Consider the following 16811-nt stretch of genomic DNA (forward strand, 5'->3'; position numbering starts at 1 on the left):
GTAGTCTGTAAATGGAGGTGTCGTTTTACCTCCACAAAATACTACTTCACTAAAGCCAGATTATTCACCAATGAACATGGCCCAGACTTTCTCACCCACTCTGATTCTGTTCATGTTGGCCCCTATGCTCATCTCTATCTGCACAAAACCCACCAATTCTTCAAAGTCCAAATTTTTAGTGAAGCTCCCATATTTTCATAATCTTTCCCTCCTTTGTATTCCTGTAATTTATATTGCAATTACCCAATACAATACTCATTCCTGTATATTCTCATCTATTCATCTATCCTAAGTCATGAGCTCTTTCTTCATGATTGTTGTAATATCTAGTGCCTAAAACCATACTTGACACATAGTAGGAGCCCATCAAATACAAGTATTATGATTATGTGTCTTTGCATTCCTCAAATCTCTCGAATAGCAATGTTTCTTTTTTTTTTTTTTTTCAGACGGAGTCTTGTTCTGTCACCCAGGCAGGAGTGTAGTGGCGCAACCTCGGCTCACTGCAACCTCCGCCTCCCAGGTTGAAGTGATTGTCCTGCCTCAGCCTCCTGAGTAGCTGGGATTACAGGTGCACACCACCACATCCAGCTAATTTTTGTATTTTTAGTAGAGACAGGGTTTCACCATGTTGGTCAGGCTGGTCCCGAACTCCTGACTTCGTGATCCACCCACCTCAGCCTCCCAAAGTGTTGGGATTACAGGTGTGAGCCACCGCACCTGGCATCAGCAATGTTTCTTAAATATTGTAAGATCAATCCATTTTGAATTAATTATTTATTAATTAAAGCCCAAAGAATGGATGAACTCTCTTGGTAAGAAAGAAGCACATATAGGAGGCTCACCTATAGTAGGTGATGAAGAGGAAAAGAGAAACTAATGAGCAATATTTTTAAAAATGGCTGGGAACCCCAAAAGAATGTGTTTATGAGTTAAGAAGTTACAGAATAGAAGAAGTTTCTAACAATCCACAGACGAATTATCTATTTTATAAATTTTTTATTTTTTTTTTGAGACGGAGTCTCACTCTGTTGCCCAGGCTGGAGTGCAGTGGCACAATCTCGGCTTACTGCAAGCTCTGCCTCCCGGGTTCATGCCATTATCCTGCCTCAGCCTCCCAAGTAGCTGGGACTACAGGCACCTGCCACCACACCCAGCTAATTTTTTTGTATTTTTAGTAGAGACGGGGTTTCACCATGTTAGCCAGGATGGTCTCCATCTCCTGACCTTGTGATCCGCCCACCTCGGCCTCCCATAGTGCTGGGATTACAGGCGTGAGCCACCGCGCCCGACCTTATAAATTATTTTTGAAGTATACAACACCTCTTCTGCCACTCATTCAGAATGAAGAGAGAGTCATTCTTGACTCTCAATGTCAAGAGTCAATGTGTCAATGACTTTGTCTCTGACTTAGCCTGGAAAATACCAACGCCAAATGGAATAGTGGTGCACTATCCAGCTGTGTAATCTAGTTTACTCTGTGCCTCCTTATACACAGGCAGAAGGGAGCTAACTATAACAACAAAAGGGAAAAGAATGAAACCAAATTTAGATCGTTTTTTGCTAAAATGTAGCCAAGTAAAAATATCAAGGGAATTTATTATATAAAATGGCTATTTTTTTGCATCAAGAAAAAAGAATTAGTTTGTCCCTTGTTCTTGAATCATTCTGCACAAATGTCCTTTTGCCAGATATTCTATGTTATGGCTTTTTGATATGAGTACCATTTCTTTCAAACTTCTGTCATTTTTAGTACAGCCAAGTTTACTCACTTTTTAAAAGTGCTATTTTGGGACTAATACAAGGGGAAATTAATCATGGTGCCCAAATGATGGGCCGGGGTACTATTTTATTACTTTCAGTTTAAACTGGGAAATATGTAACTGGTTTTTCACCTAGAGAATAAGAATGTTCCAATTTATTAGAAAGTAATTGGTATTGGAAGCAGTCACTGACAGAGGTATAATAATGGAAACCATCCCAGCTACTTCACGCAGGCCATGCGGGCCAGTCATTGTGCTGAGATGACAGGCCTGCATCTGCAGAGGTGTGGCTTGAAAAGTCTGAAAAATGTCCCTCTTCAAGACAAGGGTCACATTACTGGTTCTAGACAAGACTCCCTAAAATGCAAAATCTCTAGTAGATGCAACTCCATTTCTAATACATATCCATTAAAGGTGCACTTCAGGAGTTCACGGGATACCTGGACTGGCAAACAAAACAGCAAATGTGCATATTTTGCAAAGAGCCAAGGCCTACAATAAAGGTCATGTTGTTTATAATATTGGCTCAACAATTTTCCATAGATCACTTAACAGTTACCAAAAGTGGCAGGGCACTGGTGTACCAGAAAACACATAGAATTGTCTACAGCGTCCAAAATGTTGGATATAGAGTTGGAGAGAATGAGAGAGATCAAAAAGGAGTCTGTAAAGGAGAAAATTGGCATGACAAGCCTGAAGGAACCTCCATCTCCTCCTTTTCCCCAAGTCACTTTTAAGGTATACCTACTATGGGCAGACTTGATCTTATCCTATCTCCCAAAACTATAAGCTATTTTCTTTGTATGTCACCCTATTTCTTTCTAGCTGGAGATGTGATCCCCCCAAAGCCTGCACTGTTACACAACTCCAGAAGACACCATCCTTAGAGTAGTGAATATGAAGCCCCCCCAGAATTGTGCAGTGCCCAGCTCACATGGCCCTGTGGCATCCCTGCCTGCTGCCATTTTACTCATCATCTAGATTGTACCAAACATTGAGGCTCAGATCCCATTTTGTCTCCCTGGTGTAAAAAAAACCTTAAATTTCTCTTACCTAAAAAGTTTCATCTTTTCACAAAATAGCTTCAGCCTGTGAGTTTACAATGTGAGTCTACTTTAAATAAATTCTGGAGGCCAAGAATAAATGAAAGGTCCTGGAGCCCAACTTCCCTTGAACCTCCATAGAATGTAAGTGATATAATGGGAAGGACATTCAACAGAAGGATAGGAAATTTGGATTTAGAACTCTACATTGCTGTGCGACTTTGGGCAAGTCACAAAACTCATATGTGAGTTTCACATTTGTAATATAAAGGAGGTGAGGTAGATAAGACACTTCAAAGGCGCCTTAGAGTTCTAATATTTTATAGAACCTTGAAACCTCCTTTGCAAAGATTATGACAGTGAGAGGACTCTAGCATGGCTGACTCTATCTTGCTTCTAGCCTCACAAGCAGGCTGACCTCACTCACTCCTGGGTATAGGCCAAACTAACCACGGGAAGAATTTAGTTTATAGTTTAACTTGGAAGCAAGGATGATAATAATCCCTCCTAAAACTAACCCCTTCCTTGCTCAGGGACCTATAACTAATGAAAAACCACGAAACTAGGATTATGGGAGGGGACTGAATTCTGCTAAAATGTAGGCATAGTTTCTATAATGCCTTACTGCTCAGGAACCATGTGGCCAGAGATCACAAGATCTGTGACTTCTCCAATTGCTCCTATAGATAACACCACTATTGTAGAACTTAAGATTGGTGTTTTGAGATGTTTTTCAGATTTTTGCATTCTGGCAACTGACTGACCCCACCTGGACCCATGACTCCTGACTCAACCAGTCCTATGGCCCCCACCCAGAAATGGACTCAGCTCACAAGAACTGTTTTCCACACCCCTATAATACCATCCCCAACCAATCAGCAGCACCTATTCCCTATCCCCTTGCCCACCAAATTATCCATAAGACCTTAGCCCCTGAATTCTCAGGGAGACTGACTTGAGTAATAACTCCAATCTTTCCACTTGGCCAGCCTTGTGTTAAACCATTTTTCTCCTGCAATACCACAGTATCAGTGAGTTGATTTTGTCTGTGTAGCAGGCAGGAAGTACCCATCAGGCAATTATAACCTCAGAACACCACCTCCAGAGTAAGGGCATCTGACTCATATACAGTCACCCCATAAAGAGAGAGCAATAGGTGGTCTTTGGAGATCTGGGAGACAACTCACTAAATGCTCCATACATATCAAGCCAGATGACACATAGGTCTAAGCTGAGAGTAACTTATCTCATAAGGCATAGTCCTGCTTCTCCTCTCAGCACCAGCCATTCAGAAAGATTTTTTTTTTCTTATCTCTAGCCCGGCAAACCTAGCACATAACTTCCACATTTTTTTTGAGATTTTTTTTTTTTATTATTATACTTTAAGTTCTGGGATATATTTGCAGAACATGCGGGTTTGTTACATAGGTATACATGTGCCATGGTGGCTTCCTGCACCCATCAACCCTTCATCTACATTAGGTATTTCTCCTAATGCTATCCATTCCCTTGCCCTGCAACCTCTGACAGGCCCCAGTGTGTGATGTTCCCCTCGCTGTGCCCATATGTTTTCATTGTTCAACTCTCACTTATGAGTGAGAACATGTGGTGTTCGGTTGTCTGTTCCTGTGTTAGTTTGCTGAGAATGATGGTTTCCAGCTTCATCCATGTCCCTGCAAAGGATATGAACTCATTCTTTTTTATGGCTGCATAGTATTCCATGGTGTATATGTGCCACATTTTCTTTATCCAGTCTAACATTGATGGCATTTGGGTTGGTTCCAAGTTTGCTATTTTTGTTGGTTCCATTTTTTGCTATTGTGAATAGTGCTGCAATAAACATATGTGTGCATGTGTCTTTACAGTAGAATGATTTATGATCCTTTGGGTATATACCCAGTAATGGGATTGCTGGGTCAAATGGTACTTCTGGTTCTAGATCCTTGAGGAATCTCCACACTGTCTTCCACATTGGTTGAACTAATTTACACTCCCACCAACAGTGTAAGAGCTTTCCTATTTCTCTACATCCTCTCCAGCATCTGTTGTTTCCTGGCATTTTAATGATCACCATTCTAACTAGCGTGAGATGGTATCTCACTGTGGTTTCGATTTGCATTTGTCAAATGACCAGTGATGATGAGCTATTTATCATATGTTTGTTGGCCACATAAATATCTTCTTTTGAAAAATGTCTGTTCATATCTTTTGCCCACTTTTTGATGGGGTTGTTTTTTTCTTGTAAACTTGTTTAAGTTCCTTGTAGATTCTGGATATTAGCCCTTTGTGAGATGGATAGATTGCAAAAATTTTCTTCCATTCTGTAGGTTGCCTGTTCATGCTGATGATAGTTTCTTTTGCTGTGCAGAAGCTCTTCAGTTTAATTAGATCCCATTTGTCAATTTTGGCTTTTGTTGCCATTGCTTTTGGTGTTTTAGTCAAGAAGTCTTTGCCCATGCCTATGTCCTGAATGGTATTGCCTAGGTTTTCTTCTAGGGCTTTTATGGTTTTAGGTCTTATGTTTAAATCTTTAATCCATCGAGTTAATTTTTGTATAAGGTGTAAGGAAGGGGTCCAGTTTCAGTTTTCTGCATATGGCTAGCCTGTTTTCCCAACACCATTTATTAAAAAGGAAATCCTTTCCCCATTGCTTGTTTTTGTCAGGTTTGTCAAAGATCAGATAGTTGTAGATGTGTGGTGCTATTTCTGAGGCCTCTGTTCTGTTTCTCTGGTCTAGATATCTGTTTTGGTACCGGTACCATGATGTTTTGGTTCCTGTAGGCTTGTAGTATAGTTTGAAGTCAGGTAGCATGATGCCTCCAGCTTTGTTCTTTTTGCTTAGGATTGTCTTGGCTATGCAGGCTCTTTTTTGGTTCCATATGGAATTTAGAGTAGTTTTTTCTAATTCTGTGGAGAAAGTCAGTGGTAGCTTGATGGGAACAGCATTGAATCTATAAATTACTTTGGGCAGTGTGGCCATTTTCATGATATTGATTCTTCCTATCCATGAGCATGGAATGTTTTTCCATTTGTTTGTGTCCTCTCTTATTTCCTTGAGCAGTGTTTTGTAGTTCTCCTTGAAGAGGTCCTTCACATCCCTTGTAAGTTGTATTTCTAGATATTTTACTCTCTTTGTAGCAATTGTGAATGGGAGTTTGCTTGTGATTTGACTCTCTGTTTGTCTATTATTGGTGTATCAAAATGCTTGTGATTTTTGCACATTGATTTTGTATCCGGAGACTTTGCTGATGTTGCTTATCAGGTTAAGGAGTTTTTGGGCTGAGGCGATGGGGTTTTCTAAATATACAATCATGTTATCTGCACACAGAGATAATTTGACTTCCTCTCTTCTTATTTGAATACACTTTATTTCTTTCTCTTGCCTGATTGCCCTGGCCAGAACTTCCAATACTATCTTGAATAGGAGTGGTGAGAGAGGGCATCCTTGTCTTGTGCCGGTTTTCAAAGGGAATGCTTCCAGCTTTTGCCCATTCAGTATGATGGCTGATAACTTCTACATTTTTACCAGTCCACCCACATTTGCTAATGTTAACTCCCTCCCACTCTTAGCTACAACACCTCCCATATGACAATGCTACTAGAAGACAAGTGTCTACTACTACAAGAATATATATCTATAGTTCTAAATATAGGAGCTTTCTCATTTTAAACAAATCTAACATAGCTAAATCTGCATTTACAAGGACATATGTTTATATATATGGACTTGTATATGTGTGTGTGCATATATATATGGAATAGATTATCTGCTTTGCAAATGAATTCACCAGGGAATTCCTTAAAATACCAGGTCCTTCATTATCCTTCTCTTCACTGCCTCCCACATAAATGATGTCTTGCACTTTTTATTTATTGATAGCTGCTCAAGAATATATCTATTGTGTAATGTAGGTATATTGTATTTATAAAGATTAATGGAAAGCAAAATGCATTTCTTTGGAGCCATCTGACTAATTTCTTTAATATTTCAGAAGTGTGAGTTTATATTTTGCATATCTAGGATCTGAAACCTTATCTAGCACCACTATAAACATAAAAACCACATGAATCTTAAATACTTTCCAGAGTTCACCATGATGTAATAGCATTACGCAGAAATTAGAGTTTGCAAGAGCCACGGACTTCCCAAGAGCCTTTATGGATGGAGAAAAGTGAGCTAATGATGTAGTTTTGTAAAGGTTTCTAAGGCAAAAATTGTACCTTTCACTCAGGTCAATAGCTTTCGGCTGGGGGCAGCTTAAAAGGTAAAGTAATTCTGCCTCTGTACACAACCAATGTTAATAGACAAAAACACTAACCACATTTCTGGGAGTGGTGAAGCTATTTTTAGTAACAGTGGCTGCTCTAGAAAATTTTATCTTTTGCTGTGAAATGCCAATGTGATTTTTCTCAGTCTGTAAATGGTAAGCTCAATCATGTTTGTTTGTTTAAACTTGAGTTTTGTATGTTGTTTGTTTTTCTTTACCCCAGGGATTTCCTTATCTGTATGCACACACAGATGATAACAGGAACAGAGTGACCCACCCTAGTTTAGAGTAGGTTGCCAATTACCTCACTAAAGCTAACAGCACCCATAAGCCAACAAGGATTTTATTTCATGCAATTGTTAAAGTAATTATTTTTGCACCAACCTAATAGTATTCCTTCAAAGGCTCATGCAAGCTAAGAAACTAATAAAAACAAAAATGAAAACAGTAGCTCCACTCTTTAAGTCATCTTCTCCAGGAAAAAAAAAAAAAAAGTATTGTTCCTCTACTTCCAGAAATATAATTGTTCAGGGCTCAGAAACTCAGAAGAATCCTCACTTCCTGCCTGCCTCCTGGGTCCCTAGAAACATAGATTTAATGGGAGGGAGGGACATGGCTCATGGCAACTAAATAAGATTGGTGGGGGTGGGCAGAGGAAAGAGCATAGGACGAAGAATCAGGAAGCCTGAGATGAGATCCGGACAAACCTTCAATCCTTCTGGGCCTCAGATTCTTCATTTATAAAATACAGATGATACCCACATTTTTATTGTGATCATACGAGATAGTGGATGTGAAAATGCTTAGGAAACTATTAGGTTCTTCATAATGAATGCAATGCTCTGCTTATTTGTGTGCATCTCAATTCCTATGATGTTGTAGAATATTGAGACTGAAAGTTAAAAAAAGAGAGAAAAGACTGGGCAATAAGGCTGGTTTCAACAAAGCCTTATTTACCTCTATCTCTCCTTCTCTCTTTCACTCTACCTCCTAGAAAAAAGCAAAATTAGCAATTGACCTGAACTCTCCATTTTAATAATCACTGCATTTCTACATTTTTCAGTCACAGTCAATGTCTAAATTAGATAACCTAATTGATTACCTACTGACCGAAAGGATCTGTATTAAATCACCACCAAAATCATATAATGAAGAAATTTTCTGCTTCTAGAGAAGTTTGAAGTTGGAATCAGCACTTTTTCATTTAGCATTCATTCAACAAATATTTATTTAGTGCAAACTTGTGCCAGGCACTAGGGATTTAGAAATAAGGGAAACATTCTCCTTTCCCCATAAAGTTCATTACTCAGAGAGGGGAACAGATTTACATTCTCTTATTTTATAGCTTAGAAACCAAAGACACAATAACAGTTGGGAAAGTTTGACTCTACCTGCAACTCCCCTTCCATTATACTGAGTAGTTGGATGAGGTCTTCTTTGGATAACTCCAGGGATTTCTTAGTTTTTCGTTCACATTCTCCAGATGTTTTTAGGTGTCGTTTGACAGTTCCTGAGGCCATGACATCATCCTCCTTCCTATTTGATTTCTTCTTCTTTTTTGCATCTTCTGAGAGACTTTTTTCACCAGCATTGCCGATGATGGAGGGCTTGGGACAGGAGATATGCCCATCAGATGCACTTTCACCACCTTGGTTTCGAGATCTCATTCCCACCTACAACACATACATAAAAAAAGATAAGATGTTCTTTACCACCATCAAAATTATTTTTGCCTAAATACTTAGAAACTTATAGCAGCTTTACCACATCGCCAATAAGGAAAAATCAAATTAACATGTCATTAAAATTTTCAGGAAACCCCTTTGATGGTCTTCAGAAAAAATGAAAGTAAGATTTTAACCTGACAAACCCCTCAAGCCAAATGATCAAGGTCAGTATCAATAGTGCTAAGTCATATTGCTGTTACATAGCCCCCATAATAATATATCAATATTGGTTCATTGATTGTAACAAACGTACTATACTATCCTAATGGAGATGTCAATTATAGAGGAAACTGGGTGTAGGGCATATGCGTATTAGCTTTGTAATAATGTTAGGAATCTAAAACTGTTCTGAAATAAAATAAAAATCAATAAAAACTGTTCTAAAATAAAATAAAAATAAATAAATAAAAACTGTTCTAAGATAAAATTAAAAGTTTATTTATTTATCAGAAAAATCAAACCTGAAACCCTGCCAGGAGCCAGTTGGATGTCACAGTGTGGAAAAAAAAAAAAAAAAAAAAAGCCCACATAGGGTGGGGGCTTAAAATGGACAGAGGAAAAGGGAAAAGCAAAGGGAAGAGGAGGGTGGTGTCATTTTTAGTGATATGCGATTCTATTTTCCCATAGCCTCTATTTTAAAATCAGGTCTTTTAATGTCATTTACAGTAATAAGAGCACAAAGAATTGGGAGAAAATGAATCAATTTCAAAATCAAAACTTAAAACAGTATTTTGAGGTAAAATAAGGAAAAAAGACAAAGCAGCAGCTAAGATATTAACTTGTCCCATGAGAAGCACATTCAAGTCATCCCATGAGGAATGCTTTACAGTTTCTCTGTCAGTCTCTGAGCAAAAGAATTCTACCAACAGGTATGTTACAAACAAACACACCGAACTCACAGGCTAGGTCTCAAAGTGCTGTGAAGAGAGCTCTAATATCCTGTGGGGTGTATTTCAAATTTTGCCTAAACCCTTAAATATAGTAGATTAGCTCATGGGCTTATTTAAAAACTCACAGTATAAATAGCCCTTACCATGAACAGCTAAGCAAAAAGATTTTCATCACTAATTCCAGATAAAATATAGGGACTTTGTTATATGAAAGTAAATTTCCTTTATGAACCCAACCATACTTAAGAAACTAAGGAAAGATTTTTTAAAAACATTAGGTTTGTAACACAAAAATTAACACAGTGTGATGTTTCCTTTCAGATAGTGAATATCCAATTCTTCCAATGAATCTTGAAATCTACATTAATGCTGTTTTTTTAAAAATTGAACTCGTAAGCAAATGGACGCTTTTATGTGTGTGTGAACTTTCTACAGCACCCCAGCTTTTAACAATATAAACCAAAGGAATATTTCTTGATGCTAGCACCCTGTTTTCTGGTTCACTCAATGATTAGTTCCCAATTTTAGAGTATCTTTTGGGTTTCCCTAGTCAACAAAGAATAGAAGTTTCTTTGTAATGGAAGCCAGGGCACTTTGGAACAAACCTACTGTATTTTATCACAGCTTATTTGTGGGCAGAATGGACTGACTAAAGCCCCAATCCAAAAAAAAAAAAAAAAGAAGTGATGAATAAAGAGTTTCAAATTTAACTCATGACCTGTTATGGCTCACAGTTAAGACACATGGACTTCCCTAACTGAATTGTGATTCTGTACGACTTCATACCACATGTGAATTCTTTTTATCTGAAATAATTTTCTCTATAAGATCTTAAAGCTCTTTGAGATGACATACCAAATATTGATTTGACAACTTTAATTTAAATCATTAAATCATGAGTTAACAGAAATCCCAGACAATAGTTCCCAAAGCACAGGAAGTGCTTAATCTTACACAGTATTTAAATCTGATTGTATTATGTTACATGCATTTACTCAATCACAATTATATCTGCAAACATACAGAAAATAATCTATTAGTATCAATTTTATATTAGTTCTTTCTAAAAATTTCATTCTGAAATTAATATTTTAAAATAAAGTTTATTATAGTATTATATTAATGGCTTTTACACAAAAAATTCCACCCATTTTAGAATTATGTAATTATTTTATATCATTATTCAGGTTGAAAGCTTTAGTCTCCTATTCCCTTCCACATTAATTCACTTTGGCTGATGGAAAATTTCATGTGGTAGACCCATGAGGTTAATTTTGTCTTAACAAATATTTTTCTTTTCTGATATTGAAATTTCACATTAATTACTTTTCCTTTGGCATGAACATAAAGATTTTTAGTCCTTTCTCAGTTAGATAAATGAGGTCTTCTATCTATCTTCACAATGAAGTCAGCAATCAGCACCTGTTCTATCTCAGGAATACAAAAGTACTCAGCAATAACAAATGAATCAAGAATGTTTTAGCAAGGAATTAGCATCTATGAGGAAGATAAACATAATTTCTCAAAAGAATAACTAAGTCTGCTATAAATAATGTACACTTTAAAATGCTTTATTCTATTTTGGAGGGGGAAAACATCCAAGCAATAATGGACTTGCATGTGTCACATTTAGTGACATTTATACTCTTCATATTTTTAATAGCTCTCACTTACTGCTTCTTAAGTGTTACACAGTATAGGAAGCATTTTTCATACAGCACCTTGTTTAGTATTTACATCAACCCTGTGAAGTAGGTGCTATTTCTCTCAGGTTTATAGATGAAGCTACTGAGGTTTAAATAAATTAAATATCTTTTCCTGTATCACACAGCTACTCCTAGTGGAGAGAAAAACTAGAATTTGAACTCAGGTCGGACACTAAATACTAACCCACTATACAGCTTTCCTTACGGCTTTCCTCGAAGTTCTTAAACATATGCTAATTGGAAGAGGGGCTATCCCTGATAAATCAGGGGATCAAGAAAAAGTCAGAGGCCAGGCGCGGTGGCTCACACCTATAATCCCAGCACTTTAGGAGGCCAAGGTGGGTGGATCACCTAAGGTCGGGAGATCAAGACCAGCCTGGCCAACATGGCAAAACCCCGTCTCTACTAAAACTACAAAAATTAGCTGGGCATGGTGGCGTGCGCCTGTAATCTCAGCTACTAGGAAGACTGATGCAGGAGAATCACTTGAACCTGGGAGACAGAGGTTGTAGTGAGCCGAGATTGTGCCACTGCACTCCAGCCTGGGCGACAGAGCAAGACTCCGTCTCAAAAAAGAGAAAAAGCTACAAATGCTAAGATGTTTTCTCACTTCACATAACAAAATTTGAGAAATCCATATATATGTCTTCCTCCACAGACACTCTTGCAACACTCACATAGCAATTTAAATTAGGTTACTCAGCAATAATATGTTTTCTGAAATAATTAACCTTCTGCAGAACTTCTAAGATGATGAATCATTCAAAAGTCTTCCTGAGAAGCAATCTGGTCAATTATTAAGGGTACAGTTATGAAAACAGGATGTAAAGTCTGAACAGGGACAATTACAGACTCATTGTGTTAAAAGCCCTGGAGCTGAACAATAGTAAACACTTCATCAGTGTTGGCCAAATCCTGTCTATTGTGCTTACAAGGGTAGCAGGCAGGTAACAGAAAAGGCATCCAGAACTCCTTAGGCTTCCTACAGTTGATTGCATGGCTGCAAGTTTAAGGTGTGTAGATAGCATTTTCTGAAAGAAGCCAAGAATGCCTTCAAATCATCCCAGTGTATATCCTTTAAAAAAAGGTTCTCCCCAAGAAAAATATATAAATAAACTGAAGATTCAAATCACGTTTTATAACCCTTTTTAAAAAATCAGTGTTAACTGGAGCACAGATGCTTCTCTTTGATAAGCAAATTATCTTAACATAGTTCATAAAATATACTTACTTTTCCATTCATAGTAGTCAACAATAATTTACACGGAATTTGCTAACTAGAGTGTGAAGAAAAGAAAGATCAAATGTTATTCTGAGCCTCCCTCTTTTATCTATGGTCCTCTCTCCTTTTCATCTGCGTCCCCCCCACCCCCTGCAGCCTCCCATTAATTGGACAATGCCAGAGCATACTGTCAGATGAAAAATATCACAGGAATAAGCAAATGTAAAGCCTTTTAGTCATTTATGCTGAATTAACAAGTATTTCTAGAGCATTTGAACAAGAAAAGAAAAAAAAGGAAACAAAAAATGTCTACAGAAATTCTAGTTCCCAGACTTCCTTAGCTCTTGCAAATCTTGACCTTGAATTTTCTCCCTAGCACTCTCACCTTTGCTCTTGCTCCTTTCCAGATTTGTATTTTTGTGTTGTGATTCAACATTGGTCAAAATACTCCCCATCCCACCACCAACAAAAACTTCTTTTCTGTATAAATTAGGCTTTGGCATCTTTGCTATGCTTCTCAGGTATCCAACCCCTGTCTGTTCCTGGTTTTATTTTATCTATATATATTTTCAAGAACCTACCTAGTGCATAGAATGAGATGCCATAATAATTTTATATACTTAATTTCTATTTTAAAATTATAGAATTATGAGGAAAAATTATCATAGCAAAAAAGGAAAGCACATAATTACAAAAAAGCCGAGATTTTACAAGGTGGCCTGGCAAAAGGCCTGCTGCAAGTGGAGCTTCCAGAACATTACCACAGAACTGTCCTGACTCTTTCTCTTACACATAAATGACAATACCCAAGGCACCCAAAACTCAAAAAGAAAACATCTGTTCTAGTTTTATGTCATCAGTGAATTTTCAGATGCAAAAGACCAATTAAATCAACTAGTTTATTCCCTATCAATGCCAGATTACTTCCTGTGTGCGTTATCTTATTGGTTAAATCCGCATATAAATATCCCAACTCACGAAATGTTCAAACATTTCTCATGAGGTTATCACGTATTCTATAGCATATATTGCTCAGAAATGTTCCCAAGTTGCCTCTAAATTTTCCTTTCTTGTCTTCATCCCATTTATGCAACAAGCCACGTAAAATATTTGTTTTACTTCTAATTACCTACATTTATTAAATCCTAAAAAATAACTAAGGTTTTTACTTAAAGTATTTTTTATCCTATTAGGGTAGATCTATTCAGACTAATTGAAAATTCCTGTAAGTAATTTCACAAAATGTTAGAATTCAGAGAAAGGGATTCTCTTGGAGTCACTGCAGTGATGTTGTCATGAAAAGGCCAAGGAAAATATCATACTGTGGCAAATAGAAAAATATTATTCTACTCCAGCTTAAAACTATGGTGAAATATTTTATGACGTTCTGTTTAATATCCTTCAAGAACAATACCAGTAGGCCCAGAAAAATTTCCAGAAAAAAAAAAAGACAAAAAATAACAAGAGAATAGATCAGGGAACTGCCATGAAATAAGAAATCTTTTAAAATTAGCATGGAGTCTAAAAGAATGTACAATTTGAGTTTTAAACTTTGAATGGTGATAGATGGTAACCTTTCTTACCAACATTTTAATTAAAATCCCCACATTGATGACTCTTCTATCATAATGTGTCCGGTAGCTGTCCTCTACTTTCCATTCCACTAGCCATGACCTACTATTCAAGATCCTCCACTTTCCAAAAAATTGTATTTCCAGTCTTACCTTTCAATGCCTCCCATACATTTATCATGTTTGTTTAGTCACTGATTACAAATTATGTCTGGTATATTTTATTTTTATATCTTCACTCATGAATTTCTTTCTTAAAATGGCCTATTCTTCCCTTGTACTCTTCAGGCCTCGTCTGACTATTCCAACATGTGCCATTTCTCCTTCCTGGGTAATTTTGTACATTTGCTTGTTCTCTGTATTAATTACTTGGCACTTTTCACACTTGCTTATATTATTGTTATTGCCCCAAACATAATCTGTTTAAGGACATTTAATAAGACTTCTTCAAATCATTGAAATACCAATTGATAGACACCATTTGACGGTTTGAATTTATAACATTTTACATATTAGAATATAGGTTTATAGAACTCATTGCTTCCAATTAAAGTAACTAGATAAAATATAATTAGAAAGGAGAAATATTTAGATACACTTGTTGTTAACAGATGCCAAAAGCAATTAGCAATATTTGGAGAGATTTCTAACACTAAAATAATAAAATTTTCATGATAGTAACGTGCACTTTGGGATAAACATGGTGAATTAAAACTTGCATTTATTTCCACTCTCTGCTGAAACACACTAAAATAAAAATAAAGAAACAAAAGATGACAGAGAAAATAGGAGTATAAATGACAGCAGATGAGGATGAGAGATGTCAACACAATTTTGCAGGATGGAAAGTGGTTAGATGAGTGGGAACGTACTTGGGCATCTAAATGCTGGCAGTGTAGAAAGTAAAAGAGATGCAAATTGTTTGAATTTTCCCAATTACTCTAAAGCTAGGGATGTATCGGCTCCACAGGGCAACAGGGTAACCAGGACACAGGTCCCAGATCCTTAAGTCATGGTATATGTTTAGGAAATACTCATGAGACTTGAGTCCTGGGTGGTTACCGCAAGATTCAACCGGATCCCTCAAACTTGAGGCTGGAACTTCTTGTACTATATCCTTGTCACTGAGCCTGAAACATCAGCACCCTTCCTCACTACTCCTCCTCACTGTCCCTCCACAACATCTCTCTTCCCTACTTCAGCTCGTACTGACTTCCTCTGCTAAACTCCCGTAGCACATCTAGTTTGTATCACCCATTTAGGGCTTAGTAATACTGTCTAGCGTGGTTCTTGAATGGCTCCTGGTATTAATCTTGTTGACTCATCTAGAGTGCAAATAACTTTGCATAAGAATAGCGTTTCTATTTTATCTTCCTAAAATAACTAGCATGCTAGCCCGTCTACTCCTACGACTGAGGAAACTGAGGCTCAGAGTCACACGGCTGATCAATGGAATAGTTGGAACCAGGACTCATGTCTCATGAGTATTTCCTAAACACATCCCATGACTTCAGGATCTGTGATCTTACAGCGTGGGTATTACACTTCACTTATTTATACTCACTTCCAGTATCTATAACAGGGTTTTTAACTTTTTTCCTTTTTACTTCAATCACAGAAAAAGGTTACTTTCAATTATACAAAAGAGAAAAGCATTTAACTATCTAGTAATATACTGTTATATACAGTGGTGATGACATAATGACATAATTTTTTCTGGCATTTTCAACATCAGTGATTCATCCTTGAACCTCAAGTACATGTTAAAATATTTTTATATTTATAATTCTTTATTATTATAATTCTGATGTCACTGTCACTACTAGACATAGCATGTAATATATAATCATTGATTAAACAAAAAGAGTAAGACCCTCACACTTAAGTGATTATGAAAGTTCTTTTGTTTTCTGGTAAATTTTACCTTTACTTTTTCTACTTGATTACTATAATTTTTTTCAGACATTTTAGTAATACCATCTGGCCTCTGAAGAAAAGGGAATGTCACCATTTAGTTTAATTAAAGTTTCGAAATGTCTGGAAAATTACCAGACTCCTAGTTAGCCAGGACTAGAATTTCTTCCTGTATTTCATCAGGCTCAGAACTGAATAAGAATCAGCCATTTTCCTGCCACTAACAAAACAAGCCTATTGGTAGCCAGAAAGACAAGTACCTTAGGCATTATCTCAGCAGTCTCTATTTGCTGAATTATTCTTAAATATTACCTTTGTTTGCAATAATAATAGCTGACATTAACTGAAGAGCTTATGATGCACTGAGCAGTGGCTTAACCACCTGATAGACATTGGTGCAAAAGCAACTGCAGTTTTTGCATTGTTGAAATTTGCCATTTGATATTGGAATACATTCTTAAATAAATGGTTTGTTATACATCATTTTAATGTACATTTCTTGCTTTTTTTGCTAATCAATTATTACTTGTTATTTATTTTATATTTATTTTGGACTATGGAAATGATGTTACAAAAAGCAAATTTGAGGGATTTTCTTATTCGAGTTCAAAATGGGTAGTAAAGCAACGGAGACAACTGGCAACATCAACAACACATTTGTTCCAGGAATTGCTAAGAAACATACAGTGCAGTGGTAGTTCAATAAG

The 16811-nt window shown here is 36.9% G+C and overlaps 1 protein-coding gene and 1 long non-coding RNA gene across 7 annotated transcripts in view; one reads left to right on the forward strand and one right to left on the reverse strand.

Moving 5' to 3' along the window:
* The window catches only part of FILIP1 (filamin A interacting protein 1), a 201942-nt gene that overhangs the window by 114373 nt on the left and 70758 nt on the right, over positions 1-16811 (reverse strand). For all 6 annotated transcript variants that reach the window (XM_005248715.6, NM_001300866.3, XM_005248713.5 and 3 more), the window contains one exon: positions 8466-8747. In XM_005248715.6, coding sequence (XP_005248772.1) covers positions 8466-8741 — 276 coding nt within the window. In that variant the 5' untranslated portion in view covers positions 8742-8747. The remainder of the gene's footprint in view (positions 1-8465; positions 8748-16811) is intronic.
* Positions 1-16811, forward strand: part of LOC101928540 (uncharacterized) — a 75715-nt gene that overhangs the window by 23046 nt on the left and 35858 nt on the right. Inside the window, exon 4 of the long non-coding RNA NR_125859.1 lies at positions 8889-8965. This is a non-coding gene — a long non-coding RNA (uncharacterized LOC101928540). The remainder of the gene's footprint in view (positions 1-8888; positions 8966-16811) is intronic.

This window comes from Homo sapiens, chromosome 6, assembly GCF_000001405.40.
Source record: "Homo sapiens chromosome 6, GRCh38.p14 Primary Assembly".
Classification (NCBI taxonomy): domain Eukaryota; kingdom Metazoa; phylum Chordata; class Mammalia; order Primates; family Hominidae; genus Homo; species Homo sapiens.